The sequence below is a fragment of the Homo sapiens genome, chromosome 1 (assembly GCF_000001405.40).
Source record: "Homo sapiens chromosome 1, GRCh38.p14 Primary Assembly".
In the NCBI taxonomy this organism is placed as follows: domain Eukaryota; kingdom Metazoa; phylum Chordata; class Mammalia; order Primates; family Hominidae; genus Homo; species Homo sapiens.
Window position 1 is genome coordinate 55558848 of NC_000001.11, and position 24186 is coordinate 55583033.

At 43.1% G+C, this 24186-nt stretch overlaps 1 annotated feature.

Annotated features, from left to right (window-relative positions):
• Positions 360-529: an enhancer, noted in NCBI's record as "experimental_8522 CRE fragment used in MPRA reporter constructs". NCBI's record gives its function as "activates a minimal promoter by MPRAs in K562 erythroleukemia cells, with activity observed for the non-introgressed 1:56024965 variant allele {active_cell/tissue: K562}" and the evidence as "EXISTENCE:reporter gene assay evidence [ECO:0000049][PMID:34662402]".

Here is a 24186-nt window from a genome sequence, read left to right on the forward strand (position 1 = left end):
AGGCCTTGAGCACCAGAAGCCTAGGCCTCTGGGAATAGCATTATGTCCTAGGCGTAAATGGATGAGAGAGCCCAGTGACCTAAGCAGCTCCAACCCTGAGACTGGATCTAATGATGATCCAGATAATCCAGTGCCCAGCTTAGAGCCTGGCACACAACAAGTGCTTATAATGAAAGCATTAGTGAGTAAAAGAGTGATCCCTGGCTTTGAACTCCCTCTAAGTGTACCCCCAGGCATCTGTTCTTCCCTCAGTCACAATGCTGACCCCACTTCATGACTGGTCTCCTCTCCTTTGATTGTGCACACAAGGGCCAGTCTTGTGTCTTATTTTAGTATCTTTAGCACCTAGAATAGTATCTGGCACATAGTACATAAATGTTTAGGCGTGAACAGATGGCTGGGTTCTACATTCTATCATTCACTCATGACTGCGAACTGGAAGAGCAAAATTATGGAGCCTATGACTGTGATTTCAACCTGAGTCATGCTCCTCCCTTCTGTGCGTGCTCTAGGAAGCATGAAGAGAATATTATTGGAAAAGCAGGTTGGGAGTCATTTGCAGACCTGTCAGCAGCATCGGCTGCAGATACAGCTTACAGAAGACGGGCCAGATCTTCAGAAGACAGAACAAAAACACATGGGCCTGGAATAAAAATTGTTTTCTTGTTCAACTTACTGCTTGCCCAGAATTGGTTCATCTCTTAAGTAGCTGTTAAGGTCCCTCCTCACTGGAAGAGAAACGTATTAGTAGGGGCCCATTCAAGGTTAAGTGGAGCAAAATGTTTTCTAAAGATTTCCTCATTTTACAGAAGAGGACATTAAGTGTCAGGGTTAAGTAAATTGCTCAAGGCCACCCAACTAATCAGTAATTGTATTTCTAGCTACAGTATATTGAGCACTTACTATGCGTTAGCCACTAATATAAGTGCTTTTCATCCATTACCATATTTAATCTTGGGTAAAATAACTTTATGGATTGGGTTTTATTATCCCCATTTGACCGAGGTAGAAACTGAGGCTCAGAGAGATGAAGTAACTTGCCCCATGCTACCTCATTAGATACTGGCAGAACTGCGACCCGTGTCTAAATCTGGCAGACTTGGGAGCCAGCAGAATGTATACTTTGGGCTCTCCTCTGACACTTTAAAAACATGCGCATGCCAGAGCCCCACCCCAGGCCGGCTGAATCAGAACCTCTGTATTCTAAAAAACTCCCCAAGTGACTCCAATGTGCCTTCCTGCTTGAGAACATTAGCATAAACTACTTACCCCTCTGAGCCCCAGGTTTTTTTATCTGAAAAATGGGGGCCACAGGGATCCGGAGATCTTTGCAAGATCCAAAGGTGTGCATGTGTGTGAAAGGGCCCAGCACAGTGTCCAGTTGCAGGGGTGCTCAGTAATTGCTGACTTCCTTGTCGCAGCAACCAAGGAGTGCCTGGGGTGCTTTGGGTCTCCTGTGTCTGCACATGACCCCACTTTGCCAAAGACCCAGAACACTGTTTTCTGGGCTTTGGAGTTCAGTTTCCTGATTGTTTGTTATTATTCTTAATAGAATTCAGGAGAAGGCCATGAGTGGGCCAGACATCTGTGATAAATCTGCTGGGGTTTTTACAGGAAAGACTTCCCAAGTTCACTGTATTCTATATTTCTTGCTTTTCTTTCCAGCTATAACATAGCCAGGAAAATATCTTGCTTGAACTGAAAGAAAACAGCCCATTAGCCTCTGGTGAAAGTCGATTTAGGGAAAATGAGTGTCATATTACATAGCAGAGTGCTAGGACATTTGAAGCCCTCTTTCTAAAACACTCATCTGAAAGGGAAAGGTGTTTTTATTACAAACCTTCCACGTTCCAGGACCTCCCTCATGGAGATATGAGGAGTATTATCATCTGTGTTATAGAGGAGAAAAGTGAGGCTTAGAAAGGTGACATTGCATGACCAAGGCCCTCACATCTAGTTTGCCTGGCTTTTGAAGCCTAAAGCCTTTTTTGTGCCACAACTGTCCGCTTGGGTCTTCTAATTTCCTCCATTATTTTCCAATAACTTTAATTTCATGATAAAAGCAAACAAATTTTAAAAGATTGTTCCAAAATACCAGCAATCTTTCAAAACATAACATTCTTGCTAGGCTCAGAGTCCTTAGCACCTAGTAACCCTGATGCTAGTAGATGCGTGATAAATGATTGATGATTGAATGTAGAAATGAGTGAAGCCACAGCTTACCTACCAGGGCATTCCTTTCTTTCTCAACACTCACCTGGGATTGTGCCCATTTTTGTTCAACTTCAGACCTTCTCCCATTGCACTAGGGTCTGTTTCCTTGGGGACTTTTTTGCATTGTGGGTAACTCTGCATTCCGGGGCTTATCCATCTTGTGCTTGGCTTGCCCTTGGAATACACAAACTCCTTGGTTCTCCTTCTGATATGGAGTGAGTCCTTGTCCTCTCTGGATTTCTATTCCATCATGATAAGTCATTATCAAATATATTACAGTTTTATTTTTAATATGTCAAGTAATAATAATGGTAATAATAGATAAAATTTGTAGGGCTTCCTCTGTCCAAGTGCTCTGTTGAGCACTTCACATATTGAATAGTGTGCCCCAAAAAGTTGAAATTCAAACTCCTGATAACTACGAATATGACCGTATTTGGGTCACATTCATAGGGCCTTTGCAGGTATAATTAAGTTAAGGATCTTGAGATGAGATCATCCTAGATTTAGAGTGGACCCTAAATCCAATGACTAGTGCTCTTAGAAAGGACAGAGAGATTTAACACAGAGAAGATGTGAAGATGGAGGCAGAGATTGGAGTGATGAACCTGCAAACCAACGAATGCCAAGGGTTGCTGGCAACACGAGAAGCTGGGAGAGAGAGATGGGATGCATTCTCTCCAGACCCTCCAGAAGGAACCAACCTTGCCAACAACTTGATTTTGAACCTTTGCCTCCAGAACAGTGAGAGACTAAATTTCTGTTTTTTTTTTTTTTATTATTATACTTTAAGTTTTAGGGTATATGTGTGCAACGTGCAGGTTAGTTACATATGTATACATGTGCCATGTTGGTGTGCTGCACCCATTAACTGGTCATTTAGCATTAGGTATATCTCCTAATGCTATACCTCCCCACTCCCCCCACCCCACAACAGACCCCGGTGTGTGATGTTCCCCTTCCTGTGTCCATGTGTTCTCATTGTTCAATTCCCACCTATGAGTGAGAACATGCGGTGTTTGGTTTTTCGTCCTTGCGATAGTTTGCTGAGAATGATGGTTTCCAGCTTCATCCATGTCCCTACAAAGGACATGAACTCATCATTTTTGATGGCTGTGTAGTATTCCATGGTGTATATGCGCCACATTTTCTTAATCCAGTCTATCATTGTTGGACATTTGGGTTGGTTCCAAGTCTCTGCTATTGTGAATAGTGCCACAATAAACATACCTGTGCATGTGTCTTTATAGCAGCATGATTTATAATCCTTTGGGTATATACCCAGTAGTGGGATGGCTGGGTCAAATGGTATTTCTAGTTCTAGATCCCTGAGGAATCCCCACACCGACTTCCACAATGGTTGAACTAGTTTACAGTCCCACTAACAGTGTAAAACTGTTCCTATTTCTCCACATCCTCTCCGGCACCTGTTGTTTCCTGACTTTTTAATGATCACCATTCTAACTGGTGTGAGATGGTATCTCATTGTGGTTTTGATTTGCATTTCTCTGATGGCCAGTGATGATGAGCATTTTTTCATGTGTTTTTTGGCCGCATAAATGTCTTCTTTTGAGAAGTGTCTGTTCATATCCTTGGCCCACTTTTTGATGGGGTTGTTTGTTTTTTTCTTGTAAATTTGTTTGAGTTCATTGTAGATTTTGGATATTAGCCCTTTGTCAGATGAGTAGGTTGCAAAAATTTTCTCCCATTCTGTAGGTTGCCTGTTTACTCTGATGGTGGTTTCTTTTGCTGTGCAGAAGCTCTTTAATTAGATCCCATTTGTCAATTTTGGCTGTTGTTGCCATTGCTTTTGGTGTTTTAAACATGAAGTCCTTGCCTATGCCTATGTCCTGAATGGTATTGCCTAGGTTTTCTTCTAGGGTTTTTATGGTTTTAGGTCTAACCTGTAAGTCTTTAATCCACCTTGAATTAATTTTTGTATAAGGTGTAAGGAAGGGATCCAGTTTCAGCTTTCTACATATGGCTAGCCAGTTTTCCCAGCACCATTTATTAAGTAGGGAATCCTTTCCCCATTTCTTCTTTTTGTCAGGTTTGTCAAAGATCGGATGGGTGTAGATGTATGATATTATTTCTGATATTATGTTCGGTTCCATTGGTCTATATCTCTGTTTTGGTCCCAGTACCATGTTATTTTGGTTACTATAGCCTTGTAGTATAGTTTGAAGTTAGGTAGCGTGATGCCTCCAGCTTTTCTTTTGGCTTAGGATTGTCTTGGCAATGCGAGCTCTTTTTTGGTTCCATATGAACTTTAAAATAGCTTTTTCCAATTCTGGGAAGAAAGTCATTGGTAGCATGATGGGGATGGCATTGAATCTATAAATTACCTTGGGCAGTATGGCCACTTTCACGATATTGATTCTTCCTATCCATGAGCATGGAATGGTCTTCCATTTGTTTGTGTCCTCTTTTATTTCGTTGAGCAGTGGTTTATAGTTCTCTTGAAGAGGTCCTTCACTTCCCTTGTAAGTTGGATTCTTGGGTATTTTATTCTCTTTGAAGCAATTGTGAATGGTAGTTCACTCATGATTTGGCTCTCTGTTTGTCTGTTATTGGTGTATAAGAATGCTTGTGATTTTTGTACATTGATTTTGTATCCTGAGACTTTGCTGAAGTTGCTTATCAGCTTAAGGAGATTTTGGGCTGAGACAATGGGGTTTTCTACATATACAATCATGTCATCTGCAAACGGGGACAATTTAACTTCCTGTTTTCCTAATTGAATGCCCTTTATTCCCTTCTCCTGCCTGATTGCCCCGGCCAGAACTTCCAACACTATGTTGAATAGGAGTGGTGAGAGAGGGCATCCCTGTCTTGTGCCAGTTTTCAAAGGGAATGCTTCCAGTTTTTGCCCATTCAGTATGATATTGGCTGTGGCTTTGTCATAGATAGCTCTTATTATTTTGAGATACATCCCATCAATACCTAATTTATTGAGAGTTTTTAGCATGAAGGTTGTTGAATTTTGTCAAAGGCCTTTTCTGCCTCTATTGAGATAATCATGTGGTTTTTGTCTTTGGTTCTGTCTATATGCTGGATTACGTTTATTGATTTCTGTATGTTGAACCAGCCTTGCATCTCAGGGATGAAGCCCACTTGATCATGGTGGATAAGCTTTTTGATGTGTTGCTGGATTCGGTTTGCCAGTATTTTATTGAGGAGTTTTGCATCAGTGTTCATCAAGGATATTGGTCTAAAATTCTCTTTTTTTGTTGTGTCTCTGCCAGGCTTTGGTATCAGGATGATGCTGGCTGCATAAAATGATTTAGGGAGGATTCCCTCTTTTTCTATTGATTGGAATAGTTTCAGAAGGAATGGTACCAGCTCCTCCTTGTACCTCTGGTGGAATTCGGCTGTGAATCCATCTGGTCCTGGACTTTTTTTGGTTGGTAAGCTATTAATTATTGCCTCAATTTCAGAGCCTGTTATTGGTCTATTCAGAGATTCAACTTCTTCCTGGTTTAGTCTTGGGAGAGTGTATGTGTCGAGGAATGTATCCATTTCTTCTAGATTTTCTAGTTTATTTGCGTAGAGGTGTTTATAGTATTCTCTGATGGTAGTTTGTATTTCTGTGGGATCGGTGGTGATAATCCCCTTTGTCATTTTTTATTGCATCTATTTGATTCTTCTCGCTTTTCTTCTTTATTAGTCTTGCTAGCGGTCTATCAATTTTGTTGATCTTTTCAAAAAATGAGCTCCTGGATTCATTGATTTTTTGAAGGGCTTTTTGTGTCTCTATTTCCTTCAGTTCTGCTCTGATCTTAGTTATTTCTTGCCTTCTGCTAGCTTTTGAATGTGTTTGCTCTTGCTTCTCTAGTTCTTTTAATTGTGATGTTAGGGTGTCAATTTTAGATCTTTCCTGCTTTCTCTTGTGGGCATTTAGTGCTATAAATTTCCCTCTACACACTGCTTTGAATGTGTCCCAGAGATTCTGGTATTTTGTGTCTTTGTTCTCGTTGGTTTCAAAGAACATCTTTATTTCTGCCTTCATTTCGTTATGTACCCAGTAGTCATTCAGGAACAGGTTGTTCAGTTTCCATGTAGTTGAGTGGTTTTGCGTGAGTTTCTTAATCCTGAGTTCTAGTTTGATTGCACTGTGGTCTGAGAGACAGTTTGTTATAATTTCTGTTCTTTTACATTTGCTGAGGAGAGCTTTACTTCCAACTATGTGGTCAATTTTGGAATAGGTGTGGTGTGGTGCTGAAAAGAATGTATATTCTGTTGATTTGGGGTGGAGAGTTCTATAGATGTCTATTAGGTCCTCTTGGTGCAGAGCTGAGTTCAGTTCCTGGATATCCTTTTTAAATTTCTGTCGTGTTGATCCGTCTAATGTTGACTTTGGGGTGTTAAGGTCTCCCATTATTATTGTGTGGGAGTCTAAGTCCCTTTGTAGGTCACTAAGGACTTGTTTATGAATCTGGGTGCTCCTGTATTGGGTGCATATATATTTAGGATAGGTAGTTCTTCTTGTTGAATTGATCCCTTTACCATTATGTAATGGCCTTCTTTGTCTCTTTTGATCTTTGTTGGTTTAAAGTCTGTTTTATCCGAGACTAGGATTGCAACCCCTGCCTTTTTTTGTTTTCCATTTGCTTGGTAGATCTTCCTCCATCCCTTTATTTTGAGCCTATGTGTGTCTGTGCACGTGAGATGGGTGTCCTGAATACAGCACACTGATGGGTCTTGACTCTTTATCCAATTTGCCAGTTTGTGTCTTTTAATTGGAGCATTTAGCCCATTTGCATTTAAGGTTAGTATTGTTATGTGTGAATTTGATCCTGTCATTATGATGTTAGCTGGTTATTTTGCTCGTTAGTTGATGCAGTTTCTTCCTAGCCTTGATGGTCTTTACAACTTGGCATGTTTTTGCAGTGGCTAGTACTGGTTGTTCCTTTCCATGTTTAGTGCTTCCTTCAGGAGCTCTTTTAGGGCAGGCCTGGTGGTGACAAAATCTCTCAGCATTTGCTTGTCTGTAAAGCATTTTATTTCTCCTTCACTTATGAAGCTTAGTTTGGCTGGATATGAAATTCTGGGCTGAAAATTCTTTTCTTTAAGAATGTTGAACATTGGCCCGACTGTCTTCTGGCTTGCAGAGTTTCTGCCGAGAGATCAGCTGTTAGTCTGATGGGCTTCCTTTTGTGGGTAACCCGACCTTTCTCTCTGGCTGCCCTTAACATTTTTTCCTTCATTTCAACTTTGGTGAATCTAACAGTTATGTGTCTTGGAGTTGCCCTTCTCGAGGAGTATCTTTGTGGCGTTCTCTGTATTTCCTGAATTTGAATGTTGGCCTGCCTTGCTAGATTGGGGAAGTTCTCCTGGATAATATCCTGCAGAGTGTTTTCCAACTTGGTTCCATTCTCCCCGTCACTTTCAGGTACACCAATTAGACGTAGATTTGGTCTTTTCACATAGTCCCATATTTCTTGGAGGCTTTGTTCACTTCTTTTTATTCTTTTTTCTCTAAACTTCTCTTCACACTTCATTTCATTCATTTCGTCTTCCATTGCTGATACCCTTCCTTCTAGTTGATTGCAGCAGTTACTGAGGCTTGTGTATTCGTCATGTAGTTCTTGTGCCGTGGTTTTCAGCTCCATCAGGTCCTTTAAGGACTTCTCTGCATTGGTTATTCTAGTTATCCATTCATCTAATTTTTTTTCAAAGTTTTTAACTTCTTTGCCATTGGTTCGAACTTCCTCCTTTAGCTTGGAGTAGTTTGATCTTCTGAAGTCTTCCTCTCTCAAGTACTCAAAGTCATTCTCCGTCCAGCTTTGTTCCATTGCTGGTGAGGAGCTGCGTTCCTTTGGAGGAGGAGAGGCACTCTGATTTTTAGAATTTCCAGTTTTTCTGCTCTGTTTTTTCCCCATCTTTGTGGTTTTATCTACCTTTGGTCTTTGATGATGGTGAGGTACAGATGGGTTTCTGGTGTGGATGTCCTTTCTGTTTGTTAGTTTTCCTTCTAACAGTGAGGACCCTCAGCTGCAGGTCTGTTAGAGTTTACTGGAGGTCCACTCCAGACCCTGTTTGCCTGGGTATCAGCAGCAGTGGCTGCAAAACAGTGGATATTGGTGAACCACGAATGCTGCTGTCTGATCGTTCCTCTGGAAGTTTTGTCTCAGAGGAGTATCCGGCCGTGTGAGGTGTCAGTCCGCCCCTACTGGGGGATGCCTCCCAGTTAGGCTACGCGGGGCTCAGGGACCAACTTGAGGAGGCAGTCTGCCCGTTCTCAGATCTCAAGCTGCATGCTGGGAGAACCACTACTCTCTTCAAAGCTGTCAGACAGGGACATTTAAGTCTGCACAGGTTATTGCTGTCTTTTGTTTGTCTGTGCCCTGCCCCCAGAAGTGGAGCCTACAGAGGTAGGCAGGCCTCCTTGAGCTGTGGTGGGCTCCACCTAGTTTGAGCTTCCCAGCCGCTTTGTTTACCTACTCAAGCCTGAGCAATGGTGGGCACCCCTCTCCCAGCCTCGCTGCCACCTTGCAGTTTGATCTCAGACTGCTGTGCTAGCAAAGAGCGAGGCTCCGTGGGCATAGGACCCTCCGAGCCAGGTATGGGATATAATCTCCTGGTGTGCCGTTTGTGAAGCCCATTGGAAAAGCGCAGTATTAGGGTGGGAGTGACCCGATTTTCCAGGTGCTGTCTGTCACTCCTTTCTTTGACTAGGAAAGGGAATTCCCTGACCCCTTGCGCTTCCCGGGTGAGGCGATGCCTCGCCCTGCTTCAGCTCATGCACAGTGCACTGCACCCACTGGTCTGCACCCACTGTCTGGCACTCGCCAGTGAGATGAACCTGGTACCTCAGTTGGAAATGCAGAAATCACCTGTCTTCTGCATCACTCATGCTGGGAGCTGTAGACTGGAGCTGTTCCTATTCGGCCATCTTGGCTCCACCCACCATTTCTGTTGTTTTAAGTCAGCTAGTTTTTGGTAATTTGCTATGGCAGTGTTTATTTCCCAGGAAATGCACACACCTATAATCCAGGAGTTGCTTTTAATTCTAAGATAAGAAAACTGAGGCTGGGAAAAGGTTTATGACTTTGTCCAAGGTCACAAAATTAGCAAATGCTATGGACTGGATTCTAACCCAGTTCCAGGGCTGGCTTCGTAAACATACAACATGTGCAGCTGTACAGGGTCCTGAACTGAGAATGGCCTCTGATTGACTTGATCTGCTGTTGCCTTCTGGAAATGTTAAATCTTTTTTTTAACAAGGGGCCTGCATTTTTATTTTGCACTGGGCCTCACAATTATGTAGCTTGTTCTGACCAGGTGTCTCTGCTCTCCAAACCTCTGCTTTTTCCTTCATCATCTGCTGTACAAAAGCCCATACATATCCTTGATCTCCATCCATCCCCACAGCCACAGACTTCTAACCAGTCTCTCCATGAGACAGACTGAAAAATGGGCCCCTAAAGATGATCATGTCCTAACCCCCAAAACCTGTGAATATGTGACCTGACATGGTTTGCAGCTGTGATTAAGGGGTCTTGAGAGGGGAAGATCATGCTGGATGATCTGGAGGGCCAGATGGAATCACAACAGTCCTTATAAGAGGGATACAGGAAGAATTAGAGTCAGAGGAGTTGGTGATAGAACGAAAGAAGCAGGGATGGGACCGATATGCTTTGCAGATGAAGGAAGGAACTCCCAACCAAGAAATACATGTAGCTACAGGAGCTGAGAAATGTATGGAAGTAGATTCACCCCTCAGAGCCTTTGGAGGGAACCAGCCCTGCTGACACCTTGACTTCAGCCCAGTGAAACTGAGTTTGGACTTCTGACCTCCAGAATTGTGAAAGAACAAATCTGTGTTTTAAGCCACTAACTTTGTGATAATTTGTTATAGCGGCAACAGGAAACTAATACACTACTTCCCTCTTACTCTTACCATAGCCTTACGAGGACCCCCTCTTACTCTTACCTTTCAATCTGTGGAAGAAAAAGAAATCATCCTGGCAGTATTGGAGAAGATAAATAGAACTTTAGTTTAACAGAAAAAACATTCACATAACCTTTATGTATAATTGTAAAAAAAAGTCATAGGTTTTCAAAGGCAAGATTTTTTTTTGCAATGTTCATTTATTATGCAGGGGAAAAGACTAGCATTTATATGTACATAATAAAAATAATCAACGTGGCATAATAATGACTAGTTTAGAAACCCAAAGAACATTTTAAAAGTGTATCTTTTGAAAAGCTCTCTATACTTCTGTTTTAATCTTTCCTTATTCTGGAATGAAACATGGTTTTGACATTTGTGTTATTTAATAATTAGATTTCTGCCTAATACTAAAGTGTTAAACATGAAAAGATCATTTTAAACATAAATTTAATCTAGATTTCTTTTAGGAAAAAAATGAAAGAAAAGCAATCATCAAAAATTCTACAACACCAAACTAAAATAAAAATCAAAACAGAAACCAAAGTCCACTTTCCTTCACTGGGCATTCCAGGTTACACGTCACTTAGCCTTTGTTCGATATCCCTCCCACATCTGCCACCAGCCCACCACACTACTCCATGCAAAGAAGTGCAGCTGAAAAAGCATAAATTTCAGATGAAACTCTGTTCCAACACTTCCTGCCTGTGTAAGTTTGGGCAAGTCACTTAATTTGTCTGGGTCATGTCATGTCCATTTCAGAACTGAGGAAATTAATCCCCAAGGCCATGTCATTGAGGAAATGAAGTGTGCCTGGCATGATGCTCTATACCCTGCAGATGTTGGAGATGATGCTGTCACATAGTAATTGCTGTCCCCTCTTCCTTCAGGTAGCAGTAAACATGTTTGAGATTCACTGCCCAGGGGGCATGATTGTTAGGGGAGGAACAGTAATTTTTAAGAGTTCATTTTAGGATTTTTGAAGTAGGTGTTTGAAGCTCCCAGCAGTAAGCAGTTGTCCAAAAGACAAGAGTTCAGACTGCCTCAGGCCATGAAGTTTATGCCTTAAACAGCTGAGGACCCAGAGGTGATGCATGTTTTTATGCATAAAAAGAGCTCAATCCTTTCTGAGCTGGCAGAAAGATGGAAAAGTTGTTATAGCAGCAATAGGAATCGAAGTGAGTCTCTGGTACAAGTGTCACCTCTTCCCCTTGTGGGTATGAGGCAAAGGGTGAAGGAATCCTTAGATAGACTCAACTCTGGCACCCAAAAAAGAGGGAGCCTCTGCCTAATATCTGGCTCATTGTTCCAGTATGCAGTGAGTCCCACAAGGTTCTTATCCCACTTTGCCTGGATGAATGGATCAAAAGTGGCCATAGGGGATGAATAATAGGATATTTGCTCAGCTTCTTTAACTGAGCAAATAACAGTGGGTTGAATGTGATAGAAAGCTTATTTCACTGCGCATATACCCCAAAAGTTAAAACATAATAATAGTAATAATTTAAAAAAAAGTTTAGACTGGCAGGTGGTCCAGGGAGGAAGGGCAGCTCTGTACCACAAATTGTCTGGGGCCCTCGTTCTTCTTTTCTTGTTATTCCACTGCCCTTTAGCGTGTTGGTTTAGTCATCTTAGCTTCAATTAGCCCTCATCTACCTCATCTGCATTTCAGTGAGCTGGAAGGGAAAGAGGAAAAAGGAGGCAAGCTGCTTCCTCTTCAGGGCATGACCTGATGTTTGATACATTGCTTCTTCTCACATCTTGCTAGACAGAGTTTTGTCACATGGTTATCTCTCACTGTAAGAAAGGTTTAGAAATGGAATCTCTAGTTTCCTGGCCATCAGAGCAGCTATAACTTATAGCTATGGGACTATAAGAAACAGGAATCAAGATAGAATGGATATTGGGGACAATCAGTAACCATGATACAGAGACCTCCATAGAAGGGCAAGTATTTCCCTGTTATATCAGTCAGGGTTTGATCAAGGAAGTAGACCATTGTGAGTATTACGGAGTAGGGGGTTTATTATAGATATAAGACCACATATGATTGTGGGAGAAGCTGTGGAAATAAGAGTCTGAATGGGGCAGTGGAAGGATCAGAGAAAATCTCTACCCACCCCTTTTGAGATTTGTGAAGGTAGACAAGTGAGGAGAATGAGAGCATGCTAGAATCTGTAGCATGTCTGCAACTGTCACTCATCTCTCCTAAATACAACAGCCGTAAGAGAGCAGTGGTGCTGCTTTACTTTTTCTAAATCTTGCATTAAGTCTTTTGACCAACTCCAACCTGAAATTGTACAGGAAGTGAATTTAGGGAAATATGGTCCTAGCTTAGCCAAGTAGACACAGTTACAAACTACTACATCCATGTTGCAGAGAGTGGTAGACATTGAGATGGGACAGATCTGGGAGCCACAAGGCTGGGTGAGGAGACACCAGCAGCAGGCTCTGCATGGGCTGCTCAGATAACACTGCAATGGATGCTGCTGCTGAGGATGAGATGAGAGACACAGATGTTCTTCCCCATCCCCGTCCCTCTCCCCAGTGCATTGCTACCATACATCAGCCTTTCCATTCCAACACTCCTATCCCCATCAGAACTAAGGTGCAATCTTGGGATGGAGGAAGCCCTGGCATGATGAGAAAAAAAAAAAAATCCCAAATTGATTACATTAGGATTTCTGTCCTCAGGCGGAATATGCTCTTAGAAGACAAAACAGGGCACTTTCTAGAAAAACAACTTACATTTCTTATACACTTACATAGGTATGTAAGGTACACTTACTTACATAGTAGAGAATGGGTAATCAGCAAATCTTATCTGCCTTCTCCCTTTTTTGCTGGGTCCAGCCAAATAGAAGAACACCATTAGTCCCTCAGTGGACCAGGCTTTTGTGTGCTTCCTTCTTTCATGAACCCCTTTCACTTTTGTCAGCTTGATTTTGTTTTAAGCAACCCCATGGTGCATTTCTCCTCCTTGACTCAGCTCAAATGAACACCTTTTCTGTTATTCCTTCTTGACCTTTGCCTCAGCATCTCATGGACAGCGATACTCCCTGCCCTGCCTCCTTAAGGCCCCAAGGATTTTGGTCAGGGACCAGACTTGTTGACGGATAGATTGGATTGACTTTTCTCCAAATTATGAGCGAATCAGATGATTATCCTATTTGAAGAGAACCCTGCTCTCCAATTGTGTAAATATAAATTATACACACACAGAGTTGTCTACTATTATTTAATTGTGTTGATAAAAATATAAACCATCTAAAACTGTGTGGAACAGGGATCTTTGGGTCTTCAAGTTCACTGTGAGTTTTGTTTTTCATTGGCGGATGCTCTCTCCAGGCCCTTTCCTCTTGCCTGTATTGCAAAGAAACATCTCTTACTTTAGGCTATTGCTATATGTATGGTTCCCAGTGGCTGCTGTGACAAAAAACCATAAACTGGGTGACTGAAAACAATATAAATATGCTTTCTCACAGTTCCAAAGGCTAGATGTCCAAAATCAAGGTGTCACAGGTCCATGTTCCCTCTGAAAACTCTAAGAAGGATCCTTCCTGCCTTCTTCCTAGCTTCTGGTGCTCTAGGCAATACTTAGCGTTCCCTGGCTTTTGGACACATTACTCCAATCCCTCCCTCCTTTGTTACATGGCATTTTCATTGTGCCTCTCCTCTGTGTCATCACATGGCTTTTTATAAAGATGTCATTTATTGAATTTAGGACTCACCCTAATCCAGTATGACCTAACCTCAACTTGATTACATCTGCAAAGACTCCATTTCAAATAAGGTTACATTTTCAAGTACTGGGGATTTGGACCACGACATACCTATTTGGGGGCATAATTTAACCCACAGCTGATGCCATGACTTATATTCTTCGTACCTAGAGGCAGATGTATTTTAAGCTTGGATAGTCCCAAAGATACCTGACACTAGTCAGCCATGGCGTCAGTCCCAGCTGGAGCCCTGCCACAACAGGGCAGAAGTCTGGCCTCATGTCCTTTGGCGGATGCAGTAGGCAATAGGGCAGGGTGTAGGTCACTGACTCCGAAGCTCCCTCATGGCCTCATGCACGAAAGCACACAATCCTGGATGTGCTACAGCAGGAAGTACCAAGGCCGGAGTGGAGCACTGACTCTCTCATTAGTATGCCATAGGACCCGCACAAGCCACTTCTCTGAGCATCCGGTCATTACTTTATTGTTTTGTATGAATGAAAGAGCAGACACTTACTGGGCATTTGCTATGTGCCAGAGCAGGGGCTGGGGCCTGGGATACAGAAATCATTAAAATTCCACCCTCAATGAACCTAGCATTCATAGGGGATAAATCACTCTCTTGTGAGGTCTGAAGCAGATCAAAGCTCTCTATGATTCATAACATGCTGTACACGTGTCAGCAGCAAAGATAACTCACAGGGTTCAGGCCAGGAAGGCCTTTGTGACAACCCCACGGTTCCTCCATTAGGTCTTTGACACCTGTAAACACGGCAGCCTGAAATTCAGAGGAGGACATTCACTTTTTATTCACTTATATATTAATTTGAGTATCGATCCTGTTCCAGGCACACGGCTAGGTTCTGAAGATGCAACAGTGAACAGAGCAGGCACTGGCCCTGACCCAGGCGACTTCCAGTCTACAGTAGACACAGACATTCAATAAGTGACAAGTTCTAACTTTCCCAGAAACTCTTGCTTTGGCCTTAAAGATCGCATAAATTTTTTCAAAGTTTTCAACATTGCATCTCAATGGATTCCAGACATAAACCCAGTCCTCTGACTTTCATTCAAGATCCTTTCCACCTTATCAAACTGGTCCTTTAGGAGACAAGGGCAGGGCCTGCCACTGCTCAGAGAAGGAGTGTTGTGCATCTCCCATGAAGTCCTACCTGGGAAGGTGCATGCTAAGGATTAAAGTATTGGCATGAGGAAGGAGTTCTATTATTAGGGGGGCATATGGATATATGCAGATGCCTGTGACTACGTGTGTGTGTGTGTGTGTGTGTGTGTGTGAAGAGAGAGAGAGAGACAGAGGGAAAGAGAGAGAGAGAGAAAGCAGAACATGCACACAAGCTGTCATGTGGGTTCCTAACTCCAGACCTTGCCTTTCCTAAAAGTTTTAGGTTGAATCTTGGTTGGGTTTAGCATTGCATTCATCTCTTTTCTGTTGGGGTTCCTCTTCCGTAAGATGCACAAGATGTTTGCCCACTACAAGGGACAGGAAGTCACTCTTACCTAGAATAAAACTTTACATTGTTGGAAAATACTCTTCCCTCCTCTCCCCTTTCCACATTCATCCTCTGAGCAACAGCCTTGGGGTTGAATTAGAAAAGAAAAAGAAGGCAGGTTTCCTGTCCTTAAGGAGCTCACTCATGTTTGAGGGTCTTAGAGAAGTAGACTGATAATGACAGTGCAATGTGGTGGGTGCTAAGTTTGGGCACAGCAGTACCCTGTGCTTATCTTCAAGGCAGCAGCTGACTTAGAGCACTCACAGAGGCCATCACTGAGGAGGTGACCCTGGGCTAAGTTTTGAAAGATGCATAGGTGTTAGCAAAATAGAGGAGAAGGAAATTCCAGGGACAGGACACAGTGGATGCAAAGGTACGGAGCCAGAAAATAGTAAGACATGTCCCACCCACCCGCAACCTCGGAGGGAATGGAGGGGGCGAATCAGGGCAGCCCCCCTCCTCCCCTCCTCTCCAAGCATTGTGGAAAAGTTGTTCATTGATTAGTAAGATGCCAAGACGGAGATAAACGATTGAATACTATTGCAGGGATCACTGTGTATTAAAGGGTCACTTTTAGAGCAGGAGGGAAGCCAGGGCCCAGCCTGCAGCAGGGAGACCCAGCCTTTCCCTCTTTCCCGTCACACATGTGTTCCAGTACGTTCATCTCTGGTCTCTTGGCCCATAGGGCTGCCTGGCTGATGCTATGATCCCAAGATTTGAATTTAGGCTTAAGGGCTTATGAAAAAGCTCCAGAAAACTCCACTTAGAGGTTTTGGGTACAAGTCCAGCTATTAATACAGTCTTTGATTTTTCATGTGTAAGGGTGCCTGAGCAATCCTGGATCCCTGGTCTAATAAAACCCAAGCTGTAGCCCACAATTGTTCCTAACACCCTCTTTCCTGATGCGCTGGCATCCAGCTTTCTTTCTTCACTTTCCTCTTTTTCAGAGGGACCACCAGGCTCAAGCCAATCTCCTGTTGCCTTTTTTTCTTTGTCTACTTACCCCACTGTGTCCTGTGTTTTATGTGTGTCCAGATCATCCTAAAGCCTGGAGGGAGGCTCACATCATTTTCGCCTTTGGATTCTCCATAGCCTTGAGTACATCCAGGGTAAATGTGTAATAAACCATGGATTCAACTTTTCCTGGCTGTGAAAGGAGAAATTAACATTAGTGTTGTTTGTTGTGGGTTTTATCTAATGTGGTTTGTTCATTCACACCTCCAACAACTCTTCACTGGGGGCCAGGAAAGAAGTGATCCTAAGTACTTGTCCTTATGGCTTACAGTCTCACTGAATCCTCCTCACTATCCTTATGGTTTGTTTTTATTAACCCAAAGTTAACCAAACAGGAAGCAGAGCGACTGAACAGAGAAGGCCACCATGTTTGCAGGTGAGGCTTCTGGGACTTGAACCCAGGTTTGTAAGTCATGGGGGCAGGTGTCCTGGGGAATGGCCATCTCTGTGGTACTTTCTGGCTGGGCTCCCTTGGCTGCGTTGCCAGCACAGCCAATGCACATCACTTGTCTGTTGCTGTAACTGCAGCCACCCACTTCCTCCCCACTGTGGCAGCATTTCTAGAACCTGGCAAGGGACAGCTGTGGACCCAAGCCAGGCCCATTACAAGAGTGTTTTTTCTCCTCTCTAAAGTGGCCTATCCTGAAATGTGTGATGCTGTCTCTACATGGCCATAATTTGAAGTTCCCTCCCTTTTAATAATCCTTTTAAAGAAAAATCACAGCAACACCCACATGATTTGTGATTACCAGAGTAAAAACCACTTTTTTTTTCCCATCATCCTGGCATCTGGAGATGAGCAAAGCAGAGGAACAGAGTGTTACGTGCTGTCTCCAAACACCTTGTCCCAGGCAGGCGTTCCCTCCAGCACAGCCAGCCCAGCAGTTGGGAGGCTGCTGCCCTGGTCCCCACTCTGCCATGGAAAGAACTTGTGCCAATTGCTTCATTCTCACACTGATTTTCCCAATAAACACACACTGCACCCCTCAGTGCCACACCTGTGCTGGGTGCTAACTGAGCAGAGACACAGAGAAGTGACCTCGTCTCCAAAGATGTCCCCAGCTGATGGCCTAATGGGAAAGGCAAATCTCCCTGCCAGAGCTGGATGAGTGCATAGATTCTCACCAGGCGAAGAAAGGAAAGGCATTTCAGGCAGATGTCACAGCAAAGGCAAGGAGTGGAGGCTGGAAGAACAGCTGAGTCCAGGGTAGGTGAGGAGTGCAGTGTTTGTGGAGGGAATATTTACTTGGAGGGAATGTGGCTGGAAAGGTAGGCCAGAGCCACCTAGGGAGGGCTCCAATGAAGACAAGGAGTTGGCTTTATCCTTTATAAGCTGGGAAGACACTGAGATATTATAGACGCAGCAGATGATTCTTGCTGCACCCAGGACTGGGGTGGGCTGTGGGGGGGAATGTGTTGAGTCTTCAAAAACATGGGTATAGACAGGCATTAGGGCAGATAGTAAAATGTTTTTTCTTTCTTTCTCTGCTTCTTTTTCTCTCTCTCCCTTGCTCCCATTCTTTTTGTTTTAATAAAAAATATTTAATCTATTTATACTCAAAGCTAAGAAATATGTTGCACTGATCTATGCCCAGGTAACCGGGATGCAGAGGAAATATTATTAAGGAATTAGAAACACATGATTTACAATCTCAGCCTTCCCACTTCAAAATTAACACCTTCTATGATTTGGGCACTGCGTTCAGCATTTTTACCAACATCGCCTCTAATCCTCACAGCCTTGCAGAGTAGATTAAAATAACAACAGCCACAACAAGAACAGCAGCACATACACAAATACCATTTTTTTACTGAGTAATTATGTTCTAAGCACTATGAGAAGAACTGTAAAGACAACAACCTTGTTGAAGCAGGTTGTGTTATCATCCCTGTTGTGCAGATGAAGAGACTGAGGCTGAAAGAGCACAGAAAACTTGCCCAGGCCATTGTGTGGAAGAGCTTGTCTGACTCCAACCCCACACCTGTCCACACTACCATCCTGCCGCTTATCACCCAGCCCCCTTCTCTCCAGACACGGGGTTGATGGCCCTTACCCTGCTGCTGTACATAGGTGGTGTGAAGGTTAAGTGAAGAATTATTTTGCAAATTGCAAACAACATACCAGTACGTATCTGTGGAGTGTGATTATTATCAATAAAAATTATTGATTCCAGATAGAAAAATAATTTTAATAAATGAATGCCTCAGCCTCCCTGAAGTTGGCTTTATTTTTATAAAATATAAATCCTTAGATTTATTTGTGTTGTTTATTAGATGCCTAAGCCACAGATTGCTTCATACTCTAGTAACATTGAAAAGCAAAAACAATTAGGAAATGAGTCAATAACTTAGCAGCTGATTTTTAAAGAAACTTTTATTTTGTTGATCAAAGATTTCTTTTATAGTGGGTTGATTCTAGTACAGGCAAGCATTGGTAGGTCCAGATAGTTTTGAGGATATTAATTTCATTTTGGAAAATGGCTCAGACCGCACCCACATATCCAGGTGTTTCCAGGACTACGTGAAACCCAACAGGAGACCTTTTGTCTCCCTTCTTCAGAGCATTTTACAAAGCATATTTATCATCTCTGGAATGGTGGTGTATGGAGCCAGGCTGGGCGGCCAACAGGAGGAAAGGGTGGGTGGGAGGCACGCTTTGTTCCAGAATAGAGTGCCTTTCCTGGATGTCAGGAGGGTGGAAAAATGGCCCCTTCTAATAAACACAGATGGCCTGGGTGCATCCCTGAGTTTTTACTTTAAAAGGATAAAAAGTGAGCCGTACCTTCAATTGGAGACACATGGGAAGCCTGTTGGGCTCAAAGAGCTGGCTGCCCTGGGAGACAGGAGAGGCTGCCTTCCCGGGGCTCTCATCTTCATCATCCCTTCTCATCATCTTTTCCACACCTCTCTGCAGCCCTACCACCAATTCCCTGCCCTGAACCAGGCCCAAGATACCTCAGTTTCTCCCCGCTTTTACCCTCTCTGCTCTGTGTCTGTCATCGAATTACTTCATAGACCTCTGTGAGCCTTGGTTTCTTTCTGTGAAGCACTATAAAGCAGCAGTCCTGCAGGGAAGATCTGGGAGGTCAGTGAGATACTTTGTTCTGTGTAAGGTACTAGTCAGCACCCACCTTGGAAGTGCTGGGGAAAGCTTGGGACTTACAGCTTCTGCTCTTCACCTCCTAAGTCAATTGCATGGAGACAGGTGTTTCATACCACCTGACCCCTGAGTCTGTCTCTTCCTCTCTTTTCTATAATTGCACAAATCCCTAGGGCATTCTTTGTTTCATTTTATCCTCACATCAACCATGCTGGGAAGATCACTGTACTATTTACCTATTGCTATGTAGCAAATTACCCTAAGATGGAATGGTTTAGAAGAACAAGCATATATTACAATGGAAAGGACTTGGGATGATAATGATGTGTCAGTGTAAGTTCATTCATTTCTGAGAGTAGAGAGGTTGGGAGGGGCTTAGTTGGTTGGTTCTGGATCCGTATCTCTCATGAGGCTGCAGTCAAGCAGTTGGCTGGGGCTGCAGGCATTGAGGACTGGGTTGTCAATTTCCAAGCTCAAACTCACTCAAAGGGCTGGGGTTGGAGCAACTGGCAGGAGAGTTTTGCTACTGCCAAATGGGCCTCATCATAGTGCTGCTTATGACATAGCTGCTGGCTTCCCCCAGATACAGTGAAGAAAGAGAGCCACCAGAAGGAATGCTAGCCACACTATCTTTTATCACCTAATCTTGGAAGTGCTATAGCATCACTTCTGCCATATTCTGTTGGTCACACAGGCAACCCTGGTACTGCATGGCAGGGGACTCCACAAACTGTGGATACCAGGAGGTGGGGATTGTGGTGGCTGTCTTGGGGGGTGGCTACCATGGCCACCCAGAAAGTGAATGGCAGTACTAGCTGATCGCCTGTTTGTGCCCTGGACAGTAGGCCTGCCAGTCACTGATGTGTGGGAATGAAAAGATGCAATGCCTGGCAATGTGCCCAATAGGTATTTGATGAAGAAATAAAAGATTGGTTTTTCTAAAATAGTTCTGATTGGTTTTTTTGCTACTAAAACCATCAGCATTGTCTGATGGATTAAGTACAAATTTCTGACCCAGACATTTATAATCTTTCTGAATGTGGCCCTAGTCTCCAATTTCAGTTTCCAAACTCAAGTCTATGCTCATGTCACAGTTTCTGCCTGGGCTGCCCTTAAAGTTTTGAAATACAGCTCCTCTTCAAGGTCAAGCTAACTAACCCCACCTTCTTTGGTGTCCACGTCTCCTGTCTCCTTGCCCTTAGTAGCAGCCTCCCTGGTTCCTGATGGTGGTGCGCTTGCTCACTCAGGCATTCTATTGACCTTTGAAGTTGGTGCTCAACAACTTTGGCCAGAAAGGAAGTTTTCTGCAGAGACTGGCAATGTGTTTCTGACTATGTCTTACATATGTTTTTTTCCAATATAGCTTTTCTTGTACCTCCAGAGGACAGGCACATTTTTAATTTAAACACACCCCTAAAGGACTTGGCATACAGAAGTGACTGCCCATCTCTTGCAGGAAGTTCAGTCTCAAATTCCTTTCCTCCTACCATTTCATGAGTGACATGCCAGGCGGAATTTATTCAGATGAGGTCTTCCTACACTGGTAGAATGAATATTTTTGATTCCCTAAGTGAATTATTCATATAAACTTCAGAGTTGGAAAGTTTCTATACAGAGTCAGTGGGGAAGTATTTGTCTAAGATATCTACCCTACCTAGCCATTAATAAAATGTCCTACATTTAGATGCCACATATTTTATAGGAGTCACATATTTTATAACATCAAGATAGAAGCAAATAGATCCTTATAACAGAAAAGTTTTACAAGTTTTAAAATCAGAAAGTTCTAGATATCGAATTCCAACTGCAATACTTTCTAGCTGACCACTTTTGGTCAAACCACTCATTGCCATTTCACCAAAGATAAAACTGAGGTTTGGAGAAAGATGACTGTCAGCATATAACCTACATATAGTAGGAACACAATATTAATGTATATAAATGCATATATGTAACTTGATTGCCTCTGGGCTTCAGTTTCCTCTTTTATAAAATAGGAATTATAAAACGGGAATTAGATGTGGCATATATTACATATATGTACCACTTTAAAAGCTAAGCCTCAGTGTCTTAATCTGTACAATGGGGATTATTATCTCTACTCTCTCCATCTCATTTGATCCCCACAGTTGTGTGAGGTAAAGCAAGTGAAGCTTCTTTGTGGGGCACTTTCCTTTGTGATAATGCCCTTCATTAGTAGCCTGTAATCATGGTGTAGGGAAAGAGCACAGGCTCTGTGTTCTGGAAGTCCTGGATTCAAATCCTAGCTATTGAGCTTACTAATCATAGGGGAAATTAGCTAATTCCGGAATGTCTTTGATCCTTGGTTTCCTCCTCTGTAAATGGAATCCTGTCTGGAAGAGTACCCGGAACATGGCAGCACCTTTTCATTCACCGCTTTGTGCCACTTAGGTGTTGGTGTTTTTCCCGGTAATTGAGAGAATGGATGAGACGTATGAGTGAGTTTTCCCTATGGGACAGCATAGCAGTTTCTCATCCTACAGTTTCCAATTCGTGAATGGCTTTACTTTAACAAAATGACAGATAATGAGAGGGAAAGTAGTGTTTGAATGCTTAGACGCCTGTTCTCTCCAATGTCGCAATGTTGTCAAGAACTATCTTTATTCCCTGATTGTCCTGGAGAAGAGAAACATAAAAGCCTTATTCATAGTTTTAATTCTCATTCCAGAGAGGAACAGTGGGTTCTTTCTCCAGTTGTTCTGTCCTTACTGGGGAGGAGCCCAGGGACATATTTCACAGCTAAGTCAACTGCTTTTCTTCAAATTCAGATTTAATCCTTGAGTGAAATGAGTCACTGGCTCATCCAGTTAAGATCATCACCCACTTTCCTAACAAAACTTCTCTTCAAAGAAGGACTCGCTCATCCATCAGGTATTTATTTAGCACTCACTACATAGTAGATACTGTTTTGGCAGCTTGGAGCAACAGAGCAGGAAATAAGAGAGGCAACTAGAGCAGTGTTGTATGGTGGAAAGAACTCTAGTTCTGGTGCTGAGAAACTTGGCTTCACCTCCTGGTCTCGGAACTTACTTTCTGTGCAGCTCTTTGAATCTGGGGTATAACAGATGCCTGTTTCACAGGATTGTTTTTATTTATTTGTTTATTTATTTAATTTTTTTGAGATCAAGTCTCGCTTTGTCATCCAGCCTCCTGAGTAGCTGGGATTACAAGCATGCGCCAACATGCCACTAATGCCCAGCTAATTTTTGTATTTTTAGTAGAGATAGGGTTTCACCATATTGGCCAGGCTGGTCTCGAACTCTAGACCTCAAGTGATCCACCTGCCTTGGCCTCCCAAAGTGCTGGGATTACAGGCATGAGCCACTGCGCTTGGCCCCATAGGACTGTTTTGAGGCATGTGGTATTCTGGCTAGACATCTGAGGTTCAGACGGACTTCGGATACAATCCCAGCTATGCCACTTAAGATCATGTGGCCTTGGGCAAATCACTTCACTTCTTTGAACCTCAGTTTCTTCATCTACAAAACAGAAATAATAAGGCATCTCTTGGAAGACTGTTGGGATGGTTCAGAGCTAAGAGCAGCAAATGAAAGAGTTTTGTGAAATTCAAGGCAGGGAGAAGATTTTTCCAGGCCAAACTGAAATTCCTTCTGATGTTTCTAGCTTTTCCTGAGGTTCTTTCACACATTTCTTAATTAGACCTGCCTGAAGCAGGCTGCAAGAAGACTAGAATCTTTGTCTTTGTTTCTTCCATTACTCTTTGAAACAGATCCTTGGTGGCTAAAACCCAGAGTGAAAACAAAGTAACTTATCAAGGTAACTTTTCAGCCTGCTTGCCCTTGTCACGGGTCTACCCTGGACAAGGGTGGGCCCTTCTGGCTTTGCTCTGCATGTGAAGTCCTGTGCTTTTATGACCCAGGAGATCACTGTCCCTCCTCTCCAGCTCTTGCTATCAGGTCATTTCAGCAAATGTCTCTCAGGGGCGTTCCCTCTAGATGGGGCCAGAGTTTCCCTTCTTTGGCTCATCCTGCATATGCAAATACATCTACTGAATCCTGGCATTCTAAACTGTGGGTAGTCTGGGCCCAATAGCCTTTTAGGGCAGGGCACTGTGAGTCAATAATGGAAAGTTAGAGTCGCTGGTGTCCTGGATCTAAGTGTCTCCATCCCTCCACCCATTAGAGAGGGCGGAGGCCTCTCTAAGGCTCTGCAAAAATTTTCCATATGGCAGGATATAGAAGCACACTCCAATGGAGCCCAAACCTGCTCTGGAGTTGGCCTGATGGCAGAACTAAGGGCTCGGTGATCCTTCTAGGGCTCTCTTGGCTAGAATTGATACACATGGACCTTTTTTGAGGGGCAATGGAAGGAGGAAGGAATCAATGCATGGCTGAGAGCCGAACAGAGGGTCAAGGATGTTAGGGAGGGTGAAGGGATTGTGTGGCATCTGTGTCCCTGCTGTCTGGAAAGCTGGGACATGATGGGTAGATGGTGGATATTCATAAGGCATGGAAGTGAGAATTGATTCACTGGTGCAAAAGCAGGGGCATTTTTCACCATTAATTTCCAGTTATCACGAGCTTTTATAGCACTGATTTTACAGGGCCACACTGTCAGTTTTTCAAGTCTGATGCCTACTTGGGAGATTATTCCAAGCTTTTCTCTCTGAAAGCCTCAGTTTCCTCATTTGTAAAATGGGAATGACAATAATTCTTGCCTCAGATCCTGGGTGCAGAAGTCAAGTTGGAT